The 12,048-nt window shown below is 42.2% G+C and overlaps 1 protein-coding gene across 6 annotated transcripts in view; it reads left to right on the forward strand.

The window, feature by feature from the left end:
- The window catches only part of FRY (FRY microtubule binding protein), a 267,352-nt gene that overhangs the window by 185,413 nt on the left and 69,891 nt on the right, over nt 1-12,048 (forward strand). For all 6 annotated transcript variants that reach the window (XM_047429999.1, NM_001411012.1, XM_047430000.1 and 3 more), the window contains 5 exons: nt 1,563-1,645; nt 7,049-7,199; nt 7,747-7,850; nt 8,603-8,788; nt 11,270-11,468. In XM_047429999.1, coding sequence (XP_047285955.1) covers nt 1,563-1,645; nt 7,049-7,199; nt 7,747-7,850; nt 8,603-8,788; nt 11,270-11,468 — 723 coding nt within the window. The remainder of the gene's footprint in view (nt 1-1,562; nt 1,646-7,048; nt 7,200-7,746; nt 7,851-8,602; nt 8,789-11,269; nt 11,469-12,048) is intronic.

The following is a 12,048-nucleotide window of genomic DNA, read 5'->3' on the forward strand; positions in this document are numbered from 1 at the left end:
GAGGGACACACCTATTTTGGCTTGAGTTTTCCAGGTATTTCTAGATAGCCTTAGTTCTTTGTTTTGGCTACATATATATTAAGTTGATAAAACCTGCTGTGTATCATTTTATATAAAATAAATATAGACATACCATTTTGCCCACACTGCCCCTGAACCACACCCTTGCCCTACCTTGTAGTCCTCTGTTTGAGAAATATGCTATTGATTTCTTTCTAGAAATCCTAGATAGAAGCATAATAACTAATACCTTATAGTCCGACAGTGTCTTGCAGTTTTGGAAACACTCTCAAACATCCTTTCTTTTGTTCCCCCAAATAACCCTAATTAAATAAAAGACAGAGTATTATTATGATGCCCTTTTTGCAATTGTGGAAATAAGTTCCCCAGGGAGGTAGAGGCCTTGGCCATGGTTACAGAGCCAGTGAGAGAGAGCTCAGCCTTAAAGCTCCACGCAGGGAGTTGGCATGGCACTGAAGGCCTCCTGCACTGCCACCTCCCTGCGGTCAACACTAGACAAGGTGTATAACTTCGCCTCCCCTCAGTTTCCTCATTGTAGAATAAATAATGCTTATCTCAAAGATGAGTGAGCAAGATTAAATAAGATGATGTCTATGAATTAACTATACTTCAACATTTTTATTTTCTTTGTTGTTGTTGTTTTGTTTTTGTTTTTGTTTTGTTTGTTTTTGGTGGGGGTTACTTCTTAACAAGCCACAAGAGAGGCCAGACCAGAGAGTCTTTCTGGTGACATTACTCCCCAACTAGGACCTTTCCCTGAACACTCTCAAACTATTTTAAGAGAAACTTTAATTCTGGGTAAAGTCCAAGATTTATTATAAAGCTATTTTTGTGTATTTCCCATTCTATGTACTTTGAGTTGTTTAATCATTCAGGAAATATTTATTGACCACCTACTGTGTGTCAGGCTATGTAAATAAGGGAATCATGTTATTCAGTATCATGCCCATTTTCTTTCCAAAGCAAATGTTACCATTTTCTAGTTCAGTTGAAATATTAGGCTTAAAATTTTTATCTTTTCAAGGTTTGGACTTGTGCTTATGAGCAAGAGTGACCACTGACCCTCTCAAGGAAACAAGAAATGTTTGGGGTACAATTTTTACAGCATTCCTTTAAGAAAAGCACCATTGGCAACTAGCAGCTGAAAAACCAACTGCTAAATCATAGTGTCAGTTTATGAGTAAGAGCGTAGGCTGGGCACAGTTGCTCACGCCTGTAATCTCAGCACTCTGGGAGGCCGAAGCGGGCGGATCACGAGGTCAGGAGATCGAGACCAGCCTGGCTAACATGGTGAAACCCTGTCTCTACTAAAAATACAAAAATTAGCTGGGTGTGGTGGTGCACACCTGTAATCCCAGCTACTTGGGAGGCCAAGGCAGGAGAATTGCTTGAACCTGGAAGGCGGAGATTGCAGTGAGCCAAGATCGCACCACGGTAGTGCAGCCTGGTGACAGAGTGAGACTCCAACTCAAAAAAAAAAAAAAAAAAAGCGCATATGCACACATGTTAATATTTCATTCTGGTTGTTCTTGTATTTGAAGGTTTAGTAATGTCATCAGAGCCCACACTCGCCTCGAGTCAAGATACAGCAATAGCTCTGGAGGATCCTACGATGAAGATAAAAGTAAGTACCAACAGGCTGTGGGCTTTCAGACGGAACGCAAGTGGTCAGAGGATGGAAAATGAGTGTTCTGATTGTTCTTGGTCTGATTACTAAAAGGGCCTATAGATATTAAGTAACCATTTAATCCACCTATGCAGATGAGCATAGAGTCAGCATCCTCAAAAGTTAAAAAAAAAAGAAAAAACCATGGACAAATCAAAATTATAAAAATTCAAACTACCATCCACTCCTGTGTTTCTATATATATACATATATATATACTTTTTTTTTTTTTTGAGACGGAGTCTCGCTTTGTCGCCCAGGCTGGAGTGCAGTGGCACCATCTCAGCTCACTGCAAGCTCCGCCTTCTGGGTTCAAGTCATGTTCCTGCCTCAGCCTCGTGAGTAGCTGGGACTACAGGCACCCACCACCACGCCCAGCTAATTTTTTGTATTTTTTAGTAGAGACGGGATTTCACCGTGTTAACCAGGATGGTCTCGATCTCCTGACCTCATGATCCGCCCGCCTCGGCCTCCCAAAGTGCTGGGATTACAGGCGTGAGCCACCGCGCCCGGCCGTGTTTTTATATTCTTGACATTTTTTCTTGGTGATGCAGCTGGGGAAAATACACTAAGTCATAGTCCCATTAGAAAACACATGTTGTTGGCTGGGCGCGGTGGCTCACGCCTGTAATCCCAGCACTTTGGGAGGCCGAGGCGGGTGGATCACGAGGTCAGGAGATTGAGACCATCCTGGCTAACACGGTGAAACCCCATCTCTACTAAAAAATACAAAAAATTAGCCGGGCATGGTGGCGGGCGCCTGTAGTCCCAGCTACTCGGGAGGCTGAGGCAGGAGAATGGCGTGAACCCAGGAGGCAGAGCTTGCAGTGAGCCGAGATCGCGCCACTGCACTGTAGCCTGGGCGAAAACAAATGTTGGCGGTTCAACATTTCCACCTATCTTGCGAGTGGGTTTAACCTTGAAGCTTTGAAATGCTGCTCACTCAGGATAGGATCTGTTCCTATGTTGAATTTCTCAATGGCATAGTCTCCATAGCCTATTGAAAGCCTTGCTAACCTGGGAGTTAGCTTTGTGACAGGAATTTCTTCTGGTAGTTGGGAAAACCAAAAAGGTCAGTGCATTTACTGATTTTGTTTAAGCCCTGGACAGCTTCTGTAGATATTGAGCAGATACAGAGTATTAATTGGTCACAAGTTACAGAAATTCTGAAACCAAAGAACGCTCCCAGTGACATTTCAGATTTGCTAAGGGAATCAGTATCTTGTGGGATTTATTCTTTTTTGTCAGAAATTGTAAATATACTGACATTTCATGAGTTAAGTTCATTTCGTAAGTTGGTGCTTTGAATTGTTGTTTTGAATTGTTTTGTTTTTACAGAAATGTGCAATGTCAGGTAAGAACTAGGTAGTTCCAATAAGGCCACATTTCAGCTACCCTTGTTCTACTTCTGAATGCACAGACAGGCAGTTCTCTACCATTAAAATACTAATGGAAGGCGTGTCTAGAATCCATATGTAATTATCATGCTCTAATGTAGGTTAAGTTTCAGCTATGTCCCTATAAAACCTTCACTAGAGCTGTCAATAGGAAGTAAAATAAAGCTGTTTGTGTTTTCCTTCCTTTGTGTGTCCCCTCAGGGGATTGTACCATCCAAACACTGAATAGTCAAATCTCAGTACCATAGGCCGTTACTTCTAGAAGGCACCAGATTTTAGAGATGAGGAAAGTAGTACTTGAGAAATGGAGAGTTGGTTCAAGAAAAGTCTGGTTACTGTGGCAATATCTGGTAACCCAAAGTTTGAGGACAGAAAAATTTAAGTTTAGGCCACCTTAATTCCTCTCAGCACATTTTGGCTGATTGGATATATATCTGAAAACATCACTGAAACAAAGAATAACATATCCCTTCCTAACAGAAATCTCACAATTTACTTTTTAATTCTTCAATATTCTCCCTTTTTGTTTCCCTTTCAAGTTTTATTGAAGAGTAGCTAGTTACCTAGCAGTACATTTGGCAACTGACTTATCCTGGATGATTATCTGAGAAGTTAATTTGTTGCAAGTAAGTTACTTGTAGGTAATTTGCTGAGAGTTAGAACTGAGATGAGTTACTAGTGCATCTGCTTTAAATTTTTTCCAGGCTAAAATTGTTGTGGCCAAGCTTCATGGCATAGAATTATAGGGTTCTGGCTGCTCACTTGTCAGTGTATTAGAAAAAGCCAGTAGTCACTCTTCCTGAGGGAAGTCCTGACCTTTTCCACTGAAACCCTCTTAGCCACATCCCATGAAAAGTGGGATGTTCTTGGTTCTGGTTTTCTGATGCCTGTCCTCCTTCAGAGCCTCAGTTGTCACAACAGGAAGACACCCCTCCACCAGCTCTGTAAATGTTAAGGCCAGCATTCTACACTGGACCAGCAGCATCAAACCAATGACTTCACACTACCTTGCAGAAGTGAAGGAAAGAAAAATTATGTTATTATAAAATTGCCTAAAGACGACATAGTATGTTCTTCCTCTTAATACATAAACTGATCCCAAGAATAAACCAGCTGGTCTGCAGCCAAATACCTGGGTTAAATCCTGTGCCCACCTGTATTGCTCTTCTTAAATGCTGCTGGCCTGCTTTGGGAGCATGATAAGAAATAAACATGGAAAGTGTTGCTGTACTTATTTTATTTTATTTTTATTATTGTTTTTGAGACAGGGTCTCACCCATAGCCCAGGCTATAGTGCAATGTCACGATCTTGGCTCACTGCAGCCTCTACCTCTGGGGTGCAAGCAATTCTGCTGCGTCAGCCACCCTAGTAGCTAGGACTACAGGTGTGTGCCACCACACCTAGCTAATTTTTGTATTTTTAGTAGAGACAGGGTTTCACCATGCTGGCCACACTGGTCTTGAACTCCTGCCTTCAAGTGATCCACCCGCCTGGGCCTTCCAAAATGCTGGGATTACAGGCATGAGCCACTGCGCCTGGCCTGTACTTACTTTAAAGATAATATTGTGACGTTCATTCATTCAACAAATATTTATTGATGCTTTACCATGTGCCAGGCACCATTGTAGGTAGTAGGGAGAAAACAATGAACAGAACAGAAGAAGTCCCCACTCTCCTGGAGCTTACATTAGAGTTGGGGAGGGAGGTGGTGCTGGTGAATTGGTGATCCATGGGTGGAGGGGGAGGGACTAAAGCAGAGCGAGCAGGGTAGAAAGTGATTGGGGTTGGGGGTCAATTTACATAGAGTAGTCAAGGAAAGCTGCTGTAATAAGGTGATATTAGGGCAGAGACTTGAATGAAGCAAAGAAGTGAGCCATGCAACTGTCTGCAGATGAGCATCCTAGCCATAGGGAGCAGCAGATACAAGGGCCCTGAGGCTGTATGGGGCCCAGCCTGATCACAGAACAGCAAGGAAGCTAGGAGTGGGGTGAGCAAGGGTGCGCTGGTAGGAGATAAGCCAGGAGAGGAACATGGAGGGGGAAGACCTTGTAAGGCCTTAAAGGCCACGGGTGTGGATTTGTGGAGAGCCGCTGGAGGGTGTTGAGCAGAGAAAGAGACACTACTGAACTTGTTTTACAAGAATTGGTCTGTCTGCTCTGTGGAACACAGACCTCAAGTGATCTACCCGCCATGGCCTCCCAAAGTGCTGGGATTACAGAGGTGAGCTACCGCGACCAGCCAAAACTGTGCTTTATTGAGATGAGGAAGACTGCAGGACAAGGATGGAAGCAGTGAGACAGTTAAGGAGGCCATTGCAGTGGCCCATGCAAGAGAGGATGGTGGCTTAGTCTAGAAGTAGTGGTGAAGATGGAGAACAGTGCTCAGATTCTGGAGATGTTTTGAGGGCAGAGCTCTCTGAATATGTGGATGACAAGTTACTGAACCTCACTTTCTTCTCTACAAAATGGGGATAAAATAGATACCTATCATTGGGCCATTAATATGTGAAATGCATAGGCCAGTGCCTGGCATCAAGTAAGCCCTCTGTGCTAGTTCCTAATGTTATGATTTTTATTATTGTTGTTATCGTCATCATCACTGTGATTATTATTTGGGTATGGGATATGAGGGGAAAGTCGGGGATGACTTTAAGTCTCTTGTCCTGAGCAAACTGGAAATATGAAATTGTGCTTTTTTTTTGAGACAGAGTCTTGCTCTGTCAGCCAGGCTGGAGTGCAGTGGCATGATCTCGGCTCACTGCAACCTCCACATCCTGGGTTCAAACGATTATCCTGCCTCAGCCTCCTGTGTAGCTGGGATTATTACAGGCGTGTACCACCACCCCTAGCTAATTTTTTGTATTTTTAGTAGAGATGGGGTTTCACCATATTGGCCAGGCTGGTCTCGAACTCCTGACCTCAAGTGATCTACCCGCCTTGGCCTTCCAAAGTGCTAGGATTACAGGGGTGAGCTACCGCGACCAGGCCAAACTGTGCTTTATTGAGATGAGGAAGACTGGAGGAAAAGCAAATTTTCATAGAGATGGGAATTCAACACGATTTAATGTTTTTCTTTTCGTATATCTGTATTCTGCTTTGCTTTATAATGAATAATTATAAATTAGTTACCAAGTAATAACTATGCAAGTAGTTACCCAAACAAGTAATTCTCACCCATTTGATCATGTAATTCATACTCACCAAATGAAATCATTAGAAAGTTATTTCTGGCCAGGCACTCACACCTGTAATCCCAAAACTTTGGGAGGCCAAGGTGGGAGGATCACTTGAGTCCAGGAGTTCGAGACCAGCATGAACAACATGTTGAGACCCCATCTATTTAAAATAATAATAATAATTTTTTAATTAGCCAGCTGTGGTGGCACATGCCTATAGTCCTAGCTACTTGGGAGGCTAAGACAGGAGGATCTCTTGAGCCCCAGAATTTGAAGCTGCAGTGACTTGTTTTTGTTTTTCAAACAGAGTCTCACTCTGTCGCCCAGACTGGAGTGCAGTGGCATGATCTCGGTCCACTGCAGCCTCCACCTCCCAGATTCAAGCGATTCTCCTGCCTCATCCTCCCAAGTAGCTGGGATTACAGGCACGTGCCATCATGCCTGGCTATTTTGTGTGTGTGTGTATTTTTAGTAGAGGTGGGGTTTTGCCATGTTGGCCAGGCTGGTTTTGAACTCCTGACCTCAGGTGATCCACCCACCTCAGCCTCCCAAAGTGCTGGGATTACAGGCATGAGCCACTGTAACCAGCCCTGCAGTGAGTTTTGATCAATCCAATGCACTCCAGCCTGGGTGCCAGCGAGACCCTGTCCCTAAAAAAAATTTAAAAATGAAAAATAAAGTTATTTTTACAAGCATACATTTTTAAAATTTATTCTGAAAACATCAAGTAGAGAAAACAAGTCTCCTCTCCCTGAAAATAAAGCACAGTTGTCTTTCTCACCCTCCAGATGATCCAATTTCTCCCTACACGGGCTGGTTGCTGACTATTACAGAGACCAAGCAGCCGCAGCCCTTACCGATGCCTTGTACTGGAGGATGCTGGGCCCCCCTGGTTGACTATCTCCCGGAGACCATCACTCCCCGGGGGCCACTCCACAGGTGAGCAGCATGTGTGGGGAGAAGGAAATCTTAGCTTTGACTGGACTTTTCTACCTATGACAAGAGAAAAACCTAGTCCAGGTCCCACCACATTAAATTATCTTATCAATCAGTGGGATCCTGCCTGATTTGACTGTCAGCTTCCAGCATATTAGCAGAGTTTGGTCAAATGTTAATCAACATTCAAAGCTGCCTGTGACCTTTGAATTTCTCCTTGATGTAATCTGGATATGGGCATGCATTCTGTGATGCTTTTTAGACTGTAAGCAACTTGATGAGAGGGACCTTGTCTTTGATTTCTCTTCATCCCTTAGCTCTTATTGCCTAGTGGCTAGTAGACTCTCCTTTATGTGATTAGCTCAACCAATGTTTCTTATTGTTGTGGAGCTCTATGCTGTGTTACAAGTTAAACTCTATTTCCCCCGAATAAGAGCCTTATATAATGTTTTAAAAACACTTAAGAGTTATATTGTACTGTAACTTAATGATCTACTAGTATTTCCATCCCCTTCAGAAGTTGCATTAATTTCATTATTTCATTGATTAGGTGCAATATTGCTGTAATTTTTATGACTGAAATGGTGGTGGATCACAGTGTACGAGAAGACTGGGCGCTTCATCTACCATTATTACTTCATGCTGTCTTCTTAGGTAAGACTGGATCTAAAAGGCATTCTAGCCAATCGGGTTAAAAATATACAGAAGTAATCCGTAGAGATTTCCTTTCACATTGACATCCTGTTTGACTCATTTCGGGAATATTCTATCTCCACCATTTTTCATTGCCCTTTTGTGACATCTGCTCTGAAATGTCAGCTACTTGGTCACTGTTTGAAATTGCTCTATTTCTACCATGTAAATACAGTGGTTTCTCACTAGTGCCACATCTACAAATATATCCAAAATAAGTTGGGCCTTTTTGAGAGTCTTCGGCTGAAATGGTAAATTTTAAGCTATGAGGCATAGTCAGCGTATAAAAAGAAAGGATATAGGACGGAGTGGGCCAAGCCCTGAGCTTTGTAGAGCAAAAATGGGAAGGGGAACCAGCCAGGGAAACTCAGAAATTCAGTAAGAAAGAGACTAATAAAATTAGAATCTTTCAGTAACAGGGATATCCAAGGAGGAGAACATCTCAAGAAGAAGGAATGCTAACCACATCAAATGCTACAGAGAGGTCAAGAAAAGTTCATCTATCAGCATTTTATGAGAACATTTTACTTAAGAAATAAAGCATTTTATTTTTCCTAAGCCCAACTCCTGTATGTTGGTAACCCAAACAATAACAAAGAAAACTAAACATTCTTTTAACATGTTCCTCCTGAGTATCCTGGAATCTTTACTATCCCTGGAATCTAAACGAGCTTAACGTTTGTTTATACTTAGATTCTACTGTTTTGTTCCAGGTTTAGACCACTACCGGCCTGAAGTCTTTGAACACAGCAAAAAACTGCTTCTTCACCTCTTGATTGCCCTCTCTTGCAACAGCAATTTCCATTCCATTGCTTCCGTGCTCCTGCAGACCCGAGAGATGGGTGAAGCTAAGACTCTAACCGTGCAGCCAGCCTACCAACCTGAATATCTCTATACAGGTAACAGAGAAGGACTGGTAGAGAGCCTAGGACAGTTACAAATGCAGAGATAACTAACTGCGGGTGCCAGTGGAGCCCAAGTTAACTTCTCTCATGCTATGACCTCCAACTTTCCACGTGGTAAATCAACAGTACAATAAATACACACCATTTCACTTGATGTGAACTTGCCTCTCAAAAGCTTTCTTTATTATTGAATATTTGAAATATATTTTTCCTGGTTATATATATGATTGCTGCCCCATTGAATATGTTCCTCCTGATGCATTGGAAATGTAAGTGCCCATTGGCCAGGAGCAGCAGTCTAGAACACCGAAGGATGAGAACACACAAAATAGTGACCCTTGCTACTGCCTGAGAGCAGGTCACAGCCAAGGTGCCGGATGTATCACTTGTGTGCCTTCTAGTGCCCATGAAGGAATTTTCACTTTTGAATGATTGACCTTTTCCTTGAAGACACCATTAGTGGGAGCCTGTTAAAAGCCATTGCTGTTTTGAAACCAAAAAAAATTCTTAGAAATAGGAACAGATGGCATTAACTGAGACAAAGAAATTACTCTGCCATGTCACGCCATTCATGAAAACGGGTAATAGTGGTTTTCATTTAGAACCAGAACGTTTAAAATATCTTAAAATGATGATGAAGATTACCAACTAACAGAGTTCAGGGACTAATTTTTTTTTTACCTATTCATTTTACACATTGCATTGGCGCCAGCTGTGGTGCGACATTTCACATGTCACTGTGTGCTTTCTGCATTACTGTGAAAAGGGTGCACCTTTTATTTATCACTTGTACCCACCACTGTATTGGCTTCTAACAGATGTTAACATAGTTGTTTGGAAAACAAATATGAAATCATCATTATCTCTAAGACCTAAGGCCTACTGACCTCAATTTAAGCACTTCACTTTGAACCAAGCTACACTTAATTGAAAATAACCTATCAATAGCCTCTTAGAAACACAAAACTCCCTTTGCTGTAGATGTTTAAACTGAAGAGTTCTAGCTGCTCTAAGTCCTGAGGATAAGAATGTACTTTCTTAAATGTTAGGCAGAGAAAACTGTAATATCTGATAAGTTGGGTATCTCTGTGTAATCAGTTTTGCATTTATTATACCACTGATATGGTATAAATGATTTAAAGTGAAGATTTACCAAAAACGCATACAATATTCATAGGCAAGACAAACAGTAGATAGCTAAAGTGACTGGCTCTACAGGACACAGGGAATAGGTGTACAAAGATTATGGGAAATGTTCTTTTTTTATAAATATTTATTAAGCACCTAGTTTCAACTATAGTTGCTTTAAATACACACTAAAAATGTGTGTGACAGAAATTATTGTCTTGACTTTATTATAATAGAACACTGAGATACAGAGAATTCCATAAATTCCCTGAGGCTACACTATAAGTGGCAGAAATGTTATTCAAACCCAGGACTCCTCACTTCTAATTCAGTATATCTATCAGACACACACCAGCACTACATACTTTTTATGATTATTAAATAGGGGAAAAGGGATAGTTGCATATATACATTTTCAAACCCACAGCCTACCCAGAGGTATAGAATGTCAACCAAGTATATAATGAAGAAACAGTATTTGCTTATGCCATATTTCTTTGAATACCATAAAACATATTCTATTAAAATATATCAATATACACATAATACTAAAGCTTCTGGGCACATTTACTCAAAAATATTATGTAAAAGTAACCAGCCATTAAGTGACTGGTATCCTCAAACAGGGTATCATTTCACATGGTTTTTTTTTTTTTTTTTTGAGACAGAGTCTCACTCTGTCTCCCAGGCTGGAGCGCAGCGGCGCGATCTCAGCTCACTGCAAACTCCACCCACCGGGTTCACGCCATTCTCCTGCCTCAGCCTCCCGAGTAGCTGGGACTACAGGTGCCGACCACCACGCTCGGCTAATTTTTGTATTTTTGGTAGAGACAGGGTTTCACCATGCTAGCCAGGATGGTCTCGATCTCCTGACCTTGTGATCCACCCGCCTCAGCCTCCCAAAGTGCTGGGATTACAGGCGTGAGCCACCGCGCCCAGCCCGTTTCACATGTTTAAGAAGACTAATACCCAGGAATAATTTATTAAGAGCACAGTTAGTAGATGAACTGTTACAGTTGAACTGGTTGTTTGCCTGGTCCATGCATGCATACAAACACGCATACATACCTTCCTTTTATAGAAAGTATCAACTAAAATAGCAGAGTAGAAAGCAGCAGATCACCTCCTATTCCCAAATACACACTCATTTACACAGCAGTGCAACTGATTTCCTAAACAAAGAAAAACTGTCAGTCTCATTTAATCATAGCCACAGCCGAAAGCAACCATTTTCTCCCCAGAATTTAAATAACTCCACACTTCCCTGCCCTCCTCTGTGGACCTCATTAAGCATGCTGACAAGCACACTGCCTAGTACATCCCTCCTTGACCTTCTTCTCCCACCAGGTGGCTTTGACTTCCTGAGAGAGGACCAGTCATCCCCGGTGCCTGACTCAGGGCTTAGTTCAAGCTCCACCTCCTCTAGCATCAGTCTGGGAGGCAGCAGTGGAAACCTCCCACAGATGACCCAGGAGGTAGAAGATGTGGACACAGCTGCTGAAACAGATGAGAAGGCAAACAAGCTCATTGAGTTTCTCACGACCAGGTAATAAGGGGTTAGGAGTCCGCTGCTGTTTGCAGGTTGGTCTTTCGGAAAATTGCCAACGCTTTAAACCACACAGATGGAAAAGTGATCCTGGGGTTCTAACAAAGTCCTGTTTCTCTTCTCAATTGCAACTGCTGGAGTCTGTGTGAACAGACACTGAGATACAGAGAATTACAATTTGTGAAAGGCAGACATCAATAGCAGTTTCTAGGATCCCACTGATGTGACAGTTGATGGGCAAGGGGATTTTGTGGATAATGATGATGCAGCAGATGGAGGCAGGAGATGGTAGTGCCCCACAGTGAGCATGCCTTTAGCCATCTATCAGAGCTGCCAGGGGTTAGTAGTTCTGAGACTTGGCAGAGAACTTCACTCTGGAAATCAAGGATATTAGCCATGATCAACCCAGAAGCAGCTGCCAAGGGGACCATTGTCTGTTCATCTGGTCCAAAGAGTCATTTGTAAAAGGCAGTCAGAAACCAGAAACAATAGGAAGCATAATAGGAAAGGAATCAAACTAATAAATCAAAACCAAGAAAAACTGCAAGTGGTACTGGTTAGGTCTTCTGGTTCTTCTTAT

Source organism: Homo sapiens, chromosome 13 (genome assembly GCF_000001405.40).
Source record: "Homo sapiens chromosome 13, GRCh38.p14 Primary Assembly".
NCBI lineage: Eukaryota > Metazoa > Chordata > Mammalia > Primates > Hominidae > Homo > Homo sapiens.